The sequence below is a fragment of the Homo sapiens genome, chromosome 3 (genome assembly GCF_000001405.40).
Source record: "Homo sapiens chromosome 3, GRCh38.p14 Primary Assembly".
In the NCBI taxonomy this organism is placed as follows: domain Eukaryota; kingdom Metazoa; phylum Chordata; class Mammalia; order Primates; family Hominidae; genus Homo; species Homo sapiens.
This window is the reverse complement of record NC_000003.12, coordinates 79,142,703-79,162,019: the sequence shown is the minus strand read 5'-3', so window position 1 is coordinate 79,162,019 and position 19,317 is coordinate 79,142,703. Positions and strand designations below refer to the sequence as shown.

Genomic DNA, 19,317 nt, shown 5'->3' with positions numbered 1-19,317 from the left:
ACTCAACTAAATTTATTTTTCCTCCATTAAAGTCACCTCCATGGTGACTGATTGGAAAATATGTATAACTGCAGCTCATCAGAGGCTGAATCTATTAATTTGAAATTATGGTATGTATTATTTTGAAATTATGGATTCTGCCCAGGTATTTTCTACCATCTCAGGAAATCAGTAAGTGCCCATGGGTACCAAGCTAGGGATAGACGGTCCTTCTATCTAACAATGAGTGTGTACTCAGAGGTCAAGAAGGAGAGCGATGGTACTAGAGGCTAGCTCTGGCTATGGCAGTGCCAATAAAGCACCTGCACAAATGATTTTTAAAGTACTTGTTTGTTTACAAATAGCATTTTAAGTTATTTTAACAGGTATACAAAGTTATGGTGTAAATGTGAAATGCAACAATAATCAACTTTTTCTATAGCTTGTTTCTTATGGATATAGTAAAAGACAACTTATATTTACTTTTTCAATGACATTTCTTTTTTTCAAAGACCCTCGTCTATGTGTAGAAATTATTTTTGCAAAGAACCATGCAGTAAACTTATCCTCTACTCAAGTGCATAGGCTATTATTTGGTTTTCTTCTGGTCCCCTTAAAACCTTGATTTAAAAAAATTGATATGTTTAATAAAACTTTGTTAATGATGTTATTGGGAATTGTCACTTATATCAAATACATCAACTTGACTTGTTTAAGCAAATCCATGGATTTCTTTCTTACTCAAAAATATTTTGTCATTGTAGAAGAGATGCAGCAGTCAGGATCATAGAGTGGGATCCTTCCTACATTTATGTCAGCTTGACTTGGCAGGCAGCCTTGGTCAAGGAATACAACTGTCCTTCTGCCATTTGCTAAATCTGCATAATTAAGTACCAATTATACATGGTATTGTTTTGTAGCAGGCTCCTCAGCTGGCTTTCCTTTATTATAGTTTCATGCCATTTTCCTATTTTGATTACCAAAATACCTTGACTTTTTATCATTCTAATGAGGAGGTTTAAAGGAAAGCATATCTATCAGAATGACATATGATTATTAAACTCGGAAAATTATCTCATGAGGGAAATATATTTAATGTATGTTTTCATTAATTCTCTTTACGTGCATAGTAAAAAATGACTTTGTGTAACGTTAATATTACCTACTTGAGGTTGGGGGGGTGAGGCTTAGCCCCAGTTACAAACTAGAAGCTGTTTAGAAATTTTGTTGTTACTGAGTGCTCTTAATTTTTCCATTTGTTTGGAGCATGTGCTATATGATCATTCTTTTAATGTTTCTCACTGTTCATCCTGTGAATCCACACTGTGATCACATGAGGTTTCTAAATAAAACCACAGTTTTTTTGGACAACTAGTTGAATGACATATTAGACCAGTCAATCATGTGAAAACTAGCAAGATGCTAGGGTGTTGACTTTAAATTTTACAAGTTTATATCTCACTACATCTACAATTAGAGTCAGAAAGCAGTTCCCTTTACAAGCTGCTCTAACAATGTTCCGGAAATGTTGATAGAACCTACAATATGCCCTCAGTTAACACCCAATTTTTGAACAGTTCTATATGAAGACACTGCCATACTAAAGATAAATTTATGAGCTAATAATCATTGGATTCCAATGAAAATATTTGCAAAATTTGGCATTCTTTATTTTAAAGGATTTTTAAAGAAAGCCTAACTTTAAAATTGTCTTTGATCAACTATAACTCAATTAACAGACCTTATTGAAAAAAAAGTTTGTTTGATAGTCATGCTACAACACACACACACACACACACACACACATTTTTTTAAAGGCAATGAACAGAATAATATTGTGAACATCAACGCTTGAGAAATCAATTATTATGGTATAATTTACAATAGCGTTAAATAACCTTAAATTCTTCATTGGATTCTGTAAGTAAAAATGGCCTTAAACTGATTTCAACTCAAGTGGAATATTTTGCATCACATATGTCTAGAATCTGAACTAAAATATGTCCTCAGGAAGGACATCTCTATCTTTCTATCTGTTGACATCCTTCTGTGTGATTTTTTCTCAGACATATAGAGTTGCTACGTTAGCTCTAGCCTTTGCATGCACTCAGATTCAAGTACAACAAGAAGCAGTTTCTTTTCCAGAAAGCTTAGTAAAAGCCTCATCATGCCTCATTGGCTTTGACTGGCACCATACCCATCTGTGAACTTCTCACTGTGGCCAGGGAATGCAAATCTGATGGCCAGACCGAAATCAAGCATCCAACCCTGGGCTCAGAAACATAAGAATCATTATAGTATATAGGATAAATGGATGTGGTACAAATTATCAGAGTAGGAGTAATTTGTTCAGGTCACTTGAAGGACTTGACATAAATTGAATATGAGGGCTATTAATTTGCCAATTTGCAAGTTGACAATTGGAGACTCAATCAATTATACAACTGTACTCCCTCAGTACCAAACATCAAATGGTTGCTCTCTTCAAATACTTGATTTGAATTTAAACGTTTCTAATTAGACCAACATATTATGTAGTGGTCACCTGTACTATTTAATTGTCAAAAGTGAAAGTGGCCTTTGATGCCCAAGTTCCTCAGGAGCACAATCAAACCTGGGTAATAAAGATTTAATGAAGATTTGGATACACAACACTATTGATACAAACTTTATTAAATGATAGGTCATACAATTTAGAATTAGTATTATAAGAATGATTGATATGATTTAGATAATAATTTACCCTTTGGAAATAAAATTGATATTATAGTATTGCATGTTGTCCTGACAGCAATTTCATGAGGTAGACTGAGAACATTTTCCCTATTCAAGAGTAATCCAGGGTTGATAGAGGCCAAATCACTTACTAAGATTGTGTAGCTAAGATGCGTTAGCTCTTGCAGAGTAAGCTATGTCTTCTCATGCTAAATCAAGTATTTTTGCAGATACCCTACTTTGTCTTTCACAATAATGCAAATTTTACTTGAATAATATGGGGGATATTATTTCTTCCAAAAACATTCATTTTCAATTCCACTTTAGTCATGCATTAATATCTTATCTTCTTTCCAAAGAAGTGAATGGCACCTAATCTATATTTATAACTATTTTAAATATAGGAATGTATAAATTTGTTTTAAATGTGGAGACTACTTTCTGTATAATCTTCACAACCCAAAACAGCAGGCTTACATAGTAGAATATCAGAAGAAATTTATATTATAAGTAAATACAAAAACCCATATTAAATATGGTATGAACATAGAGTGAAGCTGGTTCATGAATAAACAGAATAACACAATGAAATAGAGGCTAAGGTAAAGACAGAATTTGAAACATGGTGAAAAGATATATGTCACATAATGTTGGGACAGGTGTTTATTATCTTGAAAAAAATTAAGCTAACCCTTGCTTCACTCCTTACAACAAAATACAAAATACATTTCAAGTGGACAAAAACTTAAACAATACAAGGAAACAGATATCTAGCCAAAATACAAGAGAATGGCTAACAACTTGGAGTAGGGAATATGTACCTGAAACAAATTTAAAAAAAAGAAGTATTAAAGGAAATTACTAATATATGTGATAATATATGACATAATAATTTCTACATAAAAATAGAATTAAGAAAATTAAAAGATGAATTAGAAAAATATTTGAGACATACATTACAGAAAATATGTGTTACATACTATTGTATGTAAATATCATAAAAATATATGATATATTTTATCATTAATATATAAATGAATATATTTTAAAACTAAAACTTCAATGGGACATTTTACAAATACAAGAACAGATAGATTACAGAAAAATGTTGAAAGGTACTCTACTCATAATCAAGAAAATTGCATCAGTGAGATTCCATTTTTCAACTATTATGTGACTAAAATTTTATTGTTTTTGGCAGGAGTGTTGAGATGAAGCCCTAAAGTCTTGGTAGAAATGTAAAAGAGATGTACTCTTTTCTTTTATGAAATTAAAATTACAAATATACTCACCATAATACTTACATATAAAAACGTTTATTCTGGCATTGTCTATTAACTGAAAACAAGGATCACTTAAATAAACTGCTATCTGCATATGATGGACCACTATAAAAATAAAGAAAATGCGTGGGCTGATAAGGAGCATAATCCACATGTATTGTTAATTAAATTTAGAGAATGTGCTTCCATGTACTTCCTGTCTTTCAAAAGTAAATGAATATAGAATATTTCTGAAAGGAGTTCCACAACTGGCAGCAGCTAATATATCTGTGGTTACCTAGATTATTTGTTCATAATGTTTGAATTTTAAAATTTTTACTTTATGCACATATTACTTCTTCAGCTAAGTAGAACTACTTTTAATTTTTAGAACAAATTATTCTGGGGAAAAAATGAACTCATATTCCTTTTATTGTACACTTCAAACTCTGGACCAAGAACCTAGTTTACTCTTAGTTCCATCCTAAACATTTCTTTGAAGAATTCTGAAAGTGTGATAAGTATATGATGTTAGGTTTAAACTGCTGATGGCAGAAGCTACTTAAAATATATGGGTGTTTGTGTTTTTTTCCTTCCAACACATCCTTAGACAGCTCTCTGGCCTGAGCTGAGGCCTGCAAACAAGACCACATGGTCTCATTACTGAATGCCCAGTTGGTTTCTAAACAAGGATCTGTAACTGGTGTGCCAGCTTCCACCACTCTGCTTCAGTTCCCATTGCTCATCAATAAACCATGATGTGCTATGCAGAACACTGTGCCTTGAGGCCAACCTGTCAATGATGGTAGACACTAAAAAATTATATGTGCTCACCAAATCATTGCAGAGAAAGTCCAGGGAAAAAGCCCCCCAAACATTTCCCCAGAGGACTATTTCTAATGTAAAGGCAGCAACAAAATAAGCAAAGAGAGAGACAAACAGAGAGAGAGAGACAGAGAGAGAACACAGGCTAACATGTGAATATAAAAATATACATATAGTTTTAAATGGTGGTCATGAAAATGAATGTTTACAGTTCTGTGTGCAGTTTGCTGCACTTCCCCACCCGATGAGAGTGAACAGAACAAACCAAAGTCTGAAGTGTGCTCTCTGAAAGAATCCATAACTAGATGATACTTTCTAAGTATATGAACATGGAACTATTAGTAAAACACAATTATAAGAGGCTTACAAAGTAAAGGAATCTGTAGACGCCCTAATTCATATTCTCCTTACCAACCTCAATAGTTTACTTTCCTTATTTATCAAGGAAAGTTATGTGTAACTGAACTAGATTATACTTTACTAAAATATGGAAATAATGTCATTTTTAACTTATAATTTTAGTAGCATATTTATTTAGATTTTTTGTGCGTGTTTTAAATCATTTCATCATTGGACCTTTTGTCCAGATCATCCCCCTTAAAGTATTGCTCAAAAGGCAATTAGAATATTTTTTCTGATTTGATAGATGAATTGTCTACCCCATAACCAAACTGAATTGCTGCCAGATAGCTAAATTGTACTAACTGAAGTGAAAACATGAAAAACGAATCGTTTTCCTTTGTAACTATATATTTCAAATAGAATGCTATTTTAATCAATAATCATTTATTGGTCATTTATTATGTAACAATGTGAAAAATGAAAGGGGTACCAGAATAAATGTATTTCTGCACTTGAAGAGTTTAATCTATAGCCAATAAATACTTACCAAAAACTTATAATCCAGTATGTCATTTTCACTATAGAATTTAATTTATAGCCAATAAATATTACCAAAACCTTCTGATCTAGTGTGTCATTTTTACTATTGCTGTAGGTACACCGTGCATTGGATTGACTATGAAAAGGACAAACAGTTCCAAGAGGGGTTAGGAAAGGAAGTCCCAGTTAAGCAGAGATGGGCAGAATAAACGGAATTCCATCAGGGACAGAAGTTGAAAGGCATTTTAAGTGAAGTATGAATAGCATGGCTAGGACTAAGGGTGTTTAGGAGTGAACGACCCTCTGGAAAAGCTGGCTGTAGCTAAATGATCAAGAACCTTTCAGATTTTGCAGAGAAACTGTAAATTACTGTTGAAGGCATTCAGGATTGTAAGTTGGGAAGTGAATTATTTGGTGGGCACTTGTTAATTCTTGGAGCACAGTGAATGATGAATTGTAGTAAGAATGTTGGAGTCAGTGTTGAAAATGAAGAGCTGACTTTATTCATGGCTTTAAAGTAAATTATTTTTGTAAGTCATTTTTGCAAGACAATTTGGTTAAGACCTGGGACTCTGATTCAAGTTCTGACTCTATCACTTTCCAGTTGTGCAAACTGGACAGGTTTCTAATTGCTGAATCCTTTGTCTCTTCACTCAAAAAACAGGAGTAATGTCTGGACCTGCCTTTTAGGGTACTGTTAGGAATAAAAGAAATAATCCACGGGAAATGTGAGGCACAGTTCTTGCCACATGTACTATGGACTGTACTGAAGCAGAGAAGAGAGATTGTTTTCCTCTAGCATTACTAGTAATGGGGAAAGACAAACTATCAGCCCAGAAAAGTATACTTTTGCCATATATGAAAAAAATATTTGAGTCACTAAATAATTTTAGGCAAAGAAAAAAGGTCTTATTTTTGGAAAAAGTTTTTCTTTGTAGATATTAATGTGCTTGACTTTTCATGTTTTTGTATTTGTTTGCTGTTTATTTTAATTCAAGGAAGTAAATACAATTCAATACAAGGACAATTACTTTACTTCCCAAATAGCTACATCAACTTTTATACAGACTGTTTATCCCTCTCTCTATACTCTACAGAACATGCCCTTTCTCTTTTTTGTAGAATATGACTTAGCAAGCAATATAGCAATCCAGAAAAAAAAAAAGGGTAGATCTTTTCAAATCTGCCTTATTCATTGTGCAGAGTGACCTGGTGCTACTCAGTGTTTGAGACATAGATGTAGCCTGCTATCTTTGTTTGTGAGCCACATGCATCGTTGGCAATAGGAGTCAATGTGTCCTTTGAGAGGCACTCATGTGTATACCCGAGCAGAGCTGTAGTTAAGTCTATTTTCATCCTTGCCTTTGGAGCAGCTGTCACAGAATTCAACCACAGAAAATAGGGAACAAATAAAAAATGGGAGGTGGTTATTATTTTATTCTTCTACATGCTTTTGTGCTAAATAAACTGATTGCAAATATCAATTGTTGCAGGTAAAACAAATTTCCGCCCTAACATAAGTGCTCAAGGAATTTACTTTCAAAAGCTTACTTCGGAAAGCTAAAAGGAAATTTATTTTCTAAATGTTATTCAGCCTCCTTACAGGATTGATAAGTAGTATGTTATTTTAAAACTTGCCTTTTTTTTCATTTTTTACAAAATTCAGTGGGAATACCAGTTGCTTAGGAAAAATAAAAGTGCCTGTGGAAAAGATGCCCATGTGAATTTATGCTAAAACCAGAAAGAGGCTGATATCTGCATCGAGGGACAGTATTTTAAGAATTCATGAATTTCCCTTTACTTATTCATTTGCAAAGGTTAAATGTGAGTTGTTTCATGCCATACTTTAGACTTTGATCAGTCTCAAGTGACTATGTTGACTGAGCTCATCTCTCTCATATGAAATGCAATACAGAAAACAAAGGGGAAAAAAACTTCATTGCAAAGATGTATAACTGTGGTCAATCTGAAGAAAAATTTATCTATTTGAAGTTGCTTTTGAAATGCAAAATGTCATTTCAGTTATTGGTGACCTTACATGGCCTCAAGTGAACATGATCTGAGATGATGGTATCGTGTGATGGAATGAGCATTAACCAAGATTGTAAAGACTTTAATTGTAATCTTGGGCTTGTCATTTTTTATTAATATTACATGTTTTAAAGCAGTATTCACTCAACAAATGTTTACTCTGAACCCATTATGTATGGGCAGGTTTTAGATGCTAGATTACAAGACAATTACAGTGTCTATCTCACTGTCCTTAAATTTTAATGAGGGAAGTAGAGAAAGAAATTGTTAAAGTCAAAATAATTTCAGATAGTGACAAATACTGTGCAGAAAGTAAAGAATGACTAGTCGGTGCTACTAAGAGTGGGTATTTAGCGACAGCCTCACTAAGGAGCAGATACTTGGTTATGTCCTTGAATACATCACTTAGCTCACTGAGACTACTTCTTAAGGAGTAAAATGGATGAAACAGCAATTGTCACGTATACCACATGGAATATTTTTAAGGATAAAATGTAATGATATATGTTAAAACCTAGTTCAGTATATCTGAGTAATATATTATTTATATTACATATAAACAATATTTATATTATATATAAATACTATATTATTTAATATATATTCAAATAAATAAATATATAAAGAGCTATAGAAATAAATCACAGTACTATTAAGCAGACGAGTATATTTGCAGAGGAGGAGCTGGATTTACTTTGTCAGATTATTATTTCTTTTGCTATTTTCTGTAATAAGCTTTTAGACCACCGTGTTAACAATAACATAGCAATATTCCTTCTCTAATCTTGATAAAAATGTGAGCTCTGGATTCAGAGAACACAGTTTGAACTCAAAGCTTTGCTGATTATTATCTGTGGATCCTTAGGTATGTTAACCTCTCTGTGAAGTAATTGGAAGATTCTTTTAATTTCAATTTTTAAATTGCTTGGAACATGGAGCTAGCTTTCAAATTACTGTGATACTCAAAATTAGCACTAAATAAAATTAATTGTCCTTGGTTTTGTTGCTATTGTTGAAGATTTTATTAGTGGAGACCCAATCCTCTGCTCTCTGATAAAGATAGGGTTAAGCGACTAAGCCTTAGCTACTTGGTGCAGCATGGTTCTTCTACGTGGAAGTCTTCAGCTTGAATTATACTTTTCCCTAAACTTTGCTTTCCAAAATTTTTAAATGTACATTTCAAAATGCCCATCACTACTACCACCCGCTCACCCTCAATGCACACACATCCGTCCTCCACACAACAGGCAAGGTAGTATTTTTTAAATATAAGTTGGATTGTGTCCCACTGAATGTCCTCCATTACCTGTGAGGTTCTACATCATTTGACCTTTGCCAGACTTGAACCTCTTTCGCTTTTCAAAATGGGCTATTGTTTTTGTTTTAACGTCTTTGAAAACGCCAAAGTCTTTTCCAACTCAGGACCTTTGAACATGCTGTGTCTTCTGCTGAAATATGCAGATAGCTGTTTCTTCATTTCTCAGATTTCAGCTTAAATATGACCATCTCAGAAAAGCCTTTATTTCCTGACACTACCCCTCCAAATGAATCCCTTGTTGCATGATTGTGTGTCTTGTTTGTTTCTGGCCCAATCTGCAATTATTCTGTTTTTCTGTTATTTCGGTTTCTTGTCAGATTCCTCCCATTTGACTGTCAGCTTCATCAAGCTAAAGATCATATTATTCGTTTTTGTGATTTGACTTTGTAATAGAAGTACAATAAATAGTCATTGCGTATAATGAATGATTATTATACAATATGCATATAATAAACATGATTTTCCTAGCATTTGACAGATACCTAAAGCAGTGTTATTTTCCTTCTTTGAACAGTTCAATTAAAAATGAGGGCACACTTTCTTTGTCTTAAAGTAGAAATGCAGTGAAGGGTCAACGCACATATTCTTGTACCACCTTAGTCTTTTCTCTGTCCCCACACTCTACCTCCACATTCTTTTTTCTCTTTCTTTCTGTTTTCTTTCTCATTCACTCAATTTCCTGATATGGAGGAAACAAAACTTATTAGAAATATTATCTTCTGGATAATAGAAGCTTTATTACATGAAGAGATCACCTTAAACATAAACAGCTGTACTATTTCTGTTTCAAGGTATATTTGTGCTACTTGCTTATTTGTTGCACATGTAACATATTTCTACATAATTAAACACATTTATTGAACATCTGTTGAATGGTACACTTAGCACTGCCCTAGATAATCGGAATTTTTTTAATGATGAGGTAACAAGCCTTGTTCTTACGAAGTTTATATTCCAGTGAAAGGAGACATCACTTAATATGTATTCGTATAAATGTACAACGTGAGTTCAGATTTTGAAATGTGCTAGATTAAAAAAGAAAATGTCAGTAAAATTACTCAGGGACCAAGGCTGTCATCATTAGATGGAATCAGATATCAATGTTAGGGAGGAACTTTGTGGTATAGTGACATTTTTGTTGAGACCGAAAGATGAGCAGGAGCCAGTTCAGCAGAGACAAGAGTGGTGAGTTCCAGACAAAAGAGAATGCTATTTGCAGAGACAAGGATGAGCTTGGCCTATAATTTGAAGAGAAAAACCAGCACTTCAGTGTAGTGATCAAACGGGAAACTGGCCCAAATTGTACTGTAAGACAAAGGTGTGAAAGATGTTGCAGGCCAGGAGAAGAAAATTTCATTTTATTCTCAATATATTAGAAAGTCATTTAAAGTTATAAGCAGAAAACTAAGTCCGATTTCTATTTTAAAGCAAAATAGAAATCACTCTGGTTGTTCTCTGAAGGACAGATTATAGAGAAAGAGGAGCATAGAGGCTGGTTAGAGGGCTATTGACATGGTCCAGGTGAGAGACGAGGGGCGATTAAGAAGTGATAGATAGTGGCAGATAGAGAAGTAGTGGTATATTTTGTTGGCTGAGCCAAGAATACTTGGTGATTGAAATGATGTGTGAAATGCAGAAAGGAGAGGTTGGGACAAAGAATCAAGGATGACTCCTAAATTTTTGGTTTGCAAGATGAGGTAGAGGATTGCATTCTTTGGTGAGATTTGGCATGTATGTATTATTAGTCCATTCTCATGCTGCTAATAAAGACACACCTGAGACTGGGTAATTTACAAAGGAAAGAGGTTTAATTGACTCCCAGTTCCACATGGCTGGAGAGGCCTTGCAATCATGATGGAAGGCAAGGAGGAGCAAAATCATGTCTTACATGGCGGCAGTCAAGAGAGAGCTTGTGCAGGGGAACTCCCATTTATAAAACCATCAGATCTCATGAGACCTATTCATTACCACGTGAACAGTACGGAGAAACCACCCCCATGATTCAATTATCTCCACCTGGCCCTGCCCTTGACACATGGGGATTATTACCATTCAAGGTGAGATTTGGATGGGGACACAGCCACACCATATTAGAGGGGCTGGGGCAGGGAATTAAGGATGACTCCTAAACTTTTGGTTTGCAAGATAAGGTAGAGGATTCTATCCTTCAGTGAGATTTGGTGTGTATGTGTATTGGTGGTGGGCATGGAAGTCAAGATATCCTTTTATGGACATGTAAACTTGAGACACTATGCATAAAAATGCATATAGTAAATATTTATGTGTAAACCTGTAGCTCTTTCTGAAATAGAATGCAAATATTTATACTTTACTTTTTATTTTATTTAAAGGTCTTAGGAATTTTTAATGTTTAAACATGAATTTGGGGGCCTGTATGCTGAATTGTCTAAATCCTCTAAGAATATCCTTTTTTAGTAAAGATAAGTATTTAATTTTATAACTTACAATCCTTATTTATTGAATATTAAATATCAGAATAAGTGCATTTCCTACCTGCCATAATATTGTCTTTTAAATACCTCCAATGGCATTTATTACATGTAGCTGAAACACAACCCAACATAATAAGCTTGCCTGCAAAATTCAAAACACACATTTAGAAAAAATATTACTTCACATTCACTGTGTGCCACACTGAAAAATAAAAGGATGGACTTGTGATTTCTGGTCTGGCATGTGAGTAACTTAGAAGTTGCCATTATATCCTAATAACAAGTAAAAACTGAAAAAAAAAAAGAAAAATCAACAACTCTTTGTAGATCTGTCACAGAAGTGAGGTCACAAGGCAAACCACCACCCCCAAAATTAGAGACATACATAGGCAGATACAGAGAGAAACAACTAATTGGAGCAAAAACCTCAGTGGGGAACCAGTGTCTAGATGGGAAAATCTGAACTGCAACTGACAAATTACTGGAGGCTCAGTGTGCATGTCTGAGAGTTAAACACTCCACAAGGACCCAGTGATAACGGACCTTCACCTTTTATGATTTTTACCTCCAGGAGCTTTACCAGGTCCTCACTATAGGAAATTCCCCTTGTGCTTCTGACAAGGGGAAGAGAAAAGTAACCATTTTGAAATGTGCCAGAGCATTCTGTTCCTCTTAACAAGGCCTGCCATCAGGAGTAACTCTTTTATAAGGGCCTAACGTACTGGGGTTTCATCAGAGCCTAACTGAACTTGGGCGATGGACATGCCTAACTTCAGACCCTTCTGGCCCACTTAAAGGTGGAAAAAAAATTAAAAAGATTAAGAAGCACTGGTGAAGTTCACAGTCCAGAGGCACAGACTCGCCAAAACACTGAAACCTAATTATAGGAGTATAGAATGCTTCCCCTCCTCACACACCTTGCCACCAAACCACTGAGGCCGATTTACCTGAGTCCCTTTCACCTAATACATTATATCCATTTTCAACAAAAAACATACTGAAAGACAAAAACAACAACAACAACAACAACAACAACAACAAACACAGTTCGAAGAGACTGAATAAGCGTCAGAACCAGAGACAGATATTGCTAGGATGTGGAATTATTAGACCAGGAATATAAAACAACTATGATTAATACACTATGGGCTGTAATAGAAGAAGCACACAACATGCAAAAATAGATAGATAATATAAGCAGAGAGATAGAAATTCTAAGAAAGTATCAAAAAGGCTATTATGCAAATATCAAATTTAAAAATGCTCTTTGAGCCTTGGGATATTGGAAAATTAAGGAAACTGATAACTAGTTTGCTTAGATTCTCACTGAGTAGTTTAAATGGACAGTTTATAATAAACGTGATATAATTATCTGAACGCAGAAGTATGCTGGTAAGTAGTTAACAACTGGTTCTCTGGGGCAAAGGCCCTGATTTATAATATTTACTGATTTTCATTTAAGTACTCTCAACATTGAGGCTACCAATGTATCAGCACAAATATGGAACTGGGAACAGATTGCTGAGAACATTTGTTGTGTTCCAACAAGTGTTAAGTCCCAATTGCTGGGAAACAATGACTCACTTGGCGCCAGTATGTGAGACTCCAGCACTTCATTGCCTGAACACATCTTAGATTTTGCTGTTCTGAGCACCTGCATTCTAAAATTATGTTTATGCTATGTCTAAATTTTAATTATTGATCACATCAGCAAAATACAGCTAATCTAATTGATCATTCTTATTAGACAATATATTAGGAATTCAGTATTTCAGTGAATCCATGTTAGGAATGAGTATGAATGTTAAGAATTGATTTTGAGGTCTCATTTGTATTCTTAAGCTTTTTAAATTTAATGATGATTTCAGACAGCTTCAGAATTTAACAACTTACTTTATGATCATGTACAGGTCTAATCCATTAGACCTTACGTGAATGTTCCCACTCAATATAGACTATTGAACTCAACTCAAAAATTGGCTTTGTCTATTTCTCCTATCATGCCTAAATCATTTGATTTTGCTTTGTTCTTCCCATGTCATGCTATTTTAGACCTTGCTCCTGTTCCCAGGCTTATATCTTACTGCTAGTACTTTTTTCATTTAAAATTTTTTAAGAGATCTGTCCTAGGCTGGCCTCGAACTCTAGGCTCAGGAGACCCATCAGCCTCCTGAGTATATGAGATGCACATCACCTCTCCCAGCTCCTTTAATTTTTAAATGGTATACTTTTTATAATATTCATTCTGTATATAGTCTTTCAGTCTTTCTTCTCATTCTTACTGTGAATCCCGTTTACCATCGTGGTGCTGTTTGAAACCATTTGCAGCCCTTGTGTTCCTATTGTGCTTCCATTTCTTTCTTTGTCTTTTAGTAAAGACAGATAGCCTTCTAGGAATGCCCCATATGACTCTCAAAGAAGAGGGAGGAATCAAAGAATAATTATTGCGGCCTACATAAATGAACAGTGGGGATATGACAGAGGCAGATAAGAAAAGAGAAAGAGGAAAGAAAGAAAAAAGCTATTTCTGAAATGTCTGTGACCAACATTGTTGACAAAGTTTCAATGTTCTTTTTCCTTCCTAGTAAAAGTAACAGGAGCTCTGAAGCTAACTATAAGCAGGCATGGAAAGATACCTAAAGTTACAACAACAACAACAAAAAAATCTGAGAATTAAAATCTGGTTTTACGTATAGCTGTTTTGAAATTCTCTATTGAAATCAACATGTATTAGCATAAATAAAAAAATTTAAGTGCATCAATAACAAGTGTAAAACAAATTCCGTGTTCAGTTTGACATTGGTTAAATGCTGTATATGAAACTAAGCACCAAAAGAAATCAATAGAGTCATTAACTATCTCACCCACTGTGTATAATAAATGATAGATTAGCTTAAATGTGATCAAACTTTTCCTCCTATTCAAAGACAAGTACTTTTCTGTTCAAGGACCACTTAACAAAATGATGCTGGCTGGTCTCCCTAACACCCAATTTCCTAAAGTCATTTGAAGGATGGGATTATTTAACTCAAATTCTAAGCAACTAATTTCAGCTTGGGACAACAGCTGTGTAAGGAATATCATTGCCTCGGGAACATCGCCTAAATATTGGGTATCTCATTTTTGGCCTCTTTGATCTCTTGAAATGATTCATTTACTAAAAAGAAAACTCACCTGCTCAGTGTTCTTACATTTCATTTTAATGAAAAAGTGGCCAGTTTTGTAGGCCATGCTTCTTGGCTTTCGTCAAACAGAAAGTACCTTCTGAATTTTGTGATTGGCAAAGTATCTCTCAGGCAGGCACAAATGGAAATTCAAGATAGAGTAAAATCAGGCTTTAAACCATGCTTGAACCAATTGCGTTGACTATATTCATTTTAAGTTGCTACTGGACAGGTGGTATAAAATTAGAATTTAAATCAAAATTTTCCATTACTACCTTTACTTCCTATTTGAAAAGAAAATTCAGAACATTTATGTTATGCAGCTATCTAGTTTAGATCAGAGACGCTTTTACACTGTTTACCTTGGATATGTTAATACTTATTTGCATATCTTTCTAAAACCAATTTCAGTATTTCTTCCTACCTTTTAGAAATATCCATTACACTCTGACAATATATAGCTAAAGCAACTATTGGAAAGATATTTTCACCATTTCCTTCTGCTTAGAAAATCTAAACTTTCCCTACATTCAAGAAAACTGGCCACTTCTTTGCTTTTTCTCCTGTTAAATAATCAGATTCAACTAAGATCTATGTTAATTTTTCTAGATACTGGATACTGAGCATTTTCTATTTTGTCCTATGTGCTTTTTTCTTTCAACACTGTCTTTAATTTTGATTTTAGTTCTATAAAGTAGCATACATTTAATTCTTTGCAGTCCCAAATAATAATGCAAAAATGGTAACAATGAAAAATCAATCTTAAAATGTTATTTACCACAGATATCTGCATACTTCACATAAGTCCAGGATATATGCATATGTATGTATATATGTATGTTATATATACATGCACAGACACACATGTATACATGTATATACATACACATTAGAGATATATATATATTCTATGATCTATATCTGTCACACTATATTTAGCCCTACAAAAGTATAATAAACATATTTTTCTGCAGTTATGTTCACAAAAATGACAAAAGAATCAATATAGCTGATAGAATTGATGGGCTCTATTTTTACGGACCATTTCTTTTCCTAAAAGTTTTAAGTGGTATATTCTTCTACATCTTTATTCCCTGAGGAACTACTCTGATGCCCTAAACATTCATTCACAGGCCTCCTTTGCACGGTGAGTGATGACAGGTGAACCTCAGAAGTGTGGGTGGGGCCAATTCCAAGCTCTGTGACGTAATTGCCTTTGTATATTTAGGATTGCTTTTAAAGCAGACACTTTTATTGGTATTTGAAATAAATGTCCATTATTTTATAAATAGAAATAGCCTATGAAAATTTCTCAGGCAATTTAAGTAGATTTAAGTAGACTTTTTTTTTTTGCTTTCTTTATCTTTAATATGAAGTTACCCACTTGAACTATTCTCAAAGGTTTAAGGGGTTGAGCCAAGCACACCAACTATTATTTCTACCAATTAAGTAATCTCTAATCACATCATCTACAGTAGAATTATCCAATAGCTTTATCTCAGTCACCATCTATTTCACTCAAAGAACACTGTAAAGATGATCATTTTATTTTATTTAATTCGTGTTATTTTACTGTGCTGTTTTTTACTTTATCAAGCTGTGAAGGAAATAATGCCAGTGTGACCTGAACTTTATCTCCCAAGCTGTCAGAGTTTATTGAATAAAAGGTTGTGGTTTAAATTCAGGACAATCCACTGTCTGACCCCCATCAATAGTCTTTCAGTCTCTTTCACAGAAATTGATCAGGTCAGTCGGGCAACATTTTTTTTCCTTATGTCATATCTTACAGTGGTAGCTTCATAATCAATTTTTTAGCTTACATAAGGTTTGTTACAAAGTCTTATGACAAGATTTTCAAGTATAGTAAATATATTTATTTCAAATGACCACCTTTAGTATGGTAAGTAATTCTATGTTCTTTATAGTTTTCACATTTAAAGATTAAATAATAAAGTTTTTAAAATAGGATGACTGTTATTTATGTCTGTGTGTGTGTGTGTGTGTGTGTGTGTGTGTGTATGTGTGTGTGTATTTCTGGCATCAGAAATTTTCTTTCATCTCTCATTGATTCCAGAGTCTATAAATCTAAAAAGTTGAGATTATAAATGATTTTTATCTATTTTTGAAGACTACCTATTACTCTGATATTTATAGTTTTATGGTGTTTATAGTAAATTACCTGAGGTTTTATTATTCTCCTTGTAAATGCAAAGTTACCTATATATTTCCTCAATTTATTTTTTGGAGGATATCAACAACTGATAGTTATAGCTTCATGATGACAAACCAAACCAACTTGACCATTTATAGTCAAATGACATAAAAGATTTGAAGGTATATAAAAATAGGATGTACAAGAGCAATAATCTTTTTTGTAGAACAATTTTATGTAGGCAATTCTGTCCAGGTCTTTATAGTTGTACACTAGAGTAGAACATACATCATTTAGTTGCAACTATATAGTCCAAAACACACTTTATTCTGCACTGCATAATAACCTACAAAATATTATTTTTTTCTCTAACAAGATACATTGCTATTCACAGTGGCAACGTAACAGATTTCCGTCTGATGGATCTTGCATACTTAAATGATTATTATTTTTGGCTTTTAGTTTGCTACCATTAATGGAAAAAGGGAATCATAAAGGTGATTCTACATTTTGTTTGTAATATCAACTATATATTTTTCCTTTTAATATAAGGAGAATGAGATGACATTATTAAATGTTAAAAAGCCTATAAAACTAATTTCAGTGTTTCTAAAGGACCTACAAAGCTCTAGTATTCTTCATTCCTCTTCATCTCAGATTAGGTTCACGTACTCCATTCCATCTATCAAAATTTCCTATGCACATATGAATAAAGAAAAGAAGGATTTAAAAAAAGGAAGGAAGAAAAGAAAGATTTAGAAGAAGGAAAGGAGAGGAGAAGGGGAAAGAGGAAAAAAGTGGAAGGGAGTAGACAGTAGGGGAAAAAGGAAGCAAGGGGAAAAGAGGGAGAAAAGGAACGAGCTCTCAGAGGTTTAACTTTAACCTAATCCTAATGCTGCAGAGACATTTCTTTCATGTGAATATATGTGTGGCTTTTAAAATCTGATTGGCTGATTGTGAGACACTCTGGAAAACAATTTTGGCAGTTCTTTTAAATACTAAATATTGATTACCAAATGCCCTTGGCATTTATCTCAGAGAAATGAAAATGTATATTTAATACTAAAACTGTACATATTTATAGCAGCTTTATTCATAACAGGCAAAACTGGAAACTACCCACATTTCCTCAACAGGTCAATGGCTAAATAAACTCTAGTACATCCATATCATGGAACTCTACATTGCCATAGCAATAAAAAGGAATGAACTCTTGAGTCACGCAAAAAACTGCGAAAATCTTTGGAGAATTAAGCTGAGTGGAAAAAAAAAAGTCATTCTCAAAAAAGTTACGTACTGTATGATTTCATTTATAGAACATTCTCAAAAATGTGGATATGGATAATAGATTAGTAGTTCAGAGTATAGGAAGGGGTTGAGTGGGAGGAAAGTGTGTGGGACCATGAAAGGGCAGCGTGAATGACCCATTTAATGGTGGCAAGACCCTTTATCTTGCTATTATCAATGTTAATATCCTGTTTGCGATACTGTACTATAGTTTTGCAAGATGTTACCACTGGAGGAAACGAGGTAAAATGTATAATAAATATTCCTATATTATGCACATGAACCTGCTATTATCTCAAAATTTGAAAAGTTTTTATGGTAGGATTCAGGATAAATTTCATGATGCATATAGTATATTTGCAAGTAGAATAAACAGCAGAATACTTAATGGCATAGTCAATTAAATACACATGTGATTGATGCAAAGTTTGACAACAATATCTTTATTCTCTTGTGAAATAAAATGTGCTGTTATCATGTTTGTAATGACCAGTCAACTCCCTGCATTGGGTAAGTACTCTGGCACATTTTTTATTTCCTGTGTTATTTCATTCACTATCATGTTTTATACCTATATGTTTTTGCCAGAATTATGTATAATTAGAGAGAATTTTTTACCTAGAAGCTACAGAATCATAGGTAAGCAAGCAGTTTTACCAGCAATGGAAGATTTATATTTTTTTGGCAAATTTGGTTACCAGGTGTTAGGCTGTCGGGTTATTTTTAGAATCATATTTAAGCACCCAAATAGCCATTCCAAAAATAAAGGTTTAACATTAACAAATAGTTTAGTCTTATTCCAGATAATCTAAGAAAAGAGGAACACATTCTTAGGTGTTTGATTTATTTATACCAATTACTACTAGTGCAACTCTGACCATTCATTTGTTAAAAATACTGTCAATCTTATGGCCATTTCTGACTCCCGTATTACACTTTTACGGTTTATGTTGAAGACGTAAGGCATTTTCAAATGCCAAATGTTGCAGATTACAGATTACAGAGACTTGCTTTTGTGAGTCTTCTCCATTTACAAGGGTTGCAAATATTTATTTATGATTTCTATAATATTTCCTTAAAATGTTCATACATAGTTATCATAATTCTGTCAATATATAGAACTCAGCAGATTTTTATTCCCTGTCTATAAACTTCAGTTTCCTTTCCCATTTTGCAGGAAAATGGGAATGCTTTAAAACTTCTGACCTCGCTTAAAAAGTGGTAACCAAAGGCCAATGGAAAGAGTATT

General features: G+C 33.7%; 1 protein-coding gene across 10 annotated transcripts in view, besides 1 other annotated feature; it reads left to right on the top strand.

The window, feature by feature from the left end:
* ROBO1 (roundabout guidance receptor 1) overlaps nucleotides 1-19,317 on the top strand; it is a 1,170,760-nt gene that overhangs the window by 605,979 nt on the left and 545,464 nt on the right. The window lies entirely within an intron of this gene.
* Nucleotides 709-1,210: an enhancer, noted in NCBI's record as "NANOG hESC enhancer chr3:79209960-79210461 (GRCh37/hg19 assembly coordinates)". NCBI's record gives its function as "activates a minimal SCP1, AML or CMV promoter by ChIP-STARR-seq in primed H9 embryonic stem cells {active_cell/tissue: H9 hESC(primed)}" and the evidence as "EXISTENCE:reporter gene assay evidence [ECO:0000049][PMID:30033119]".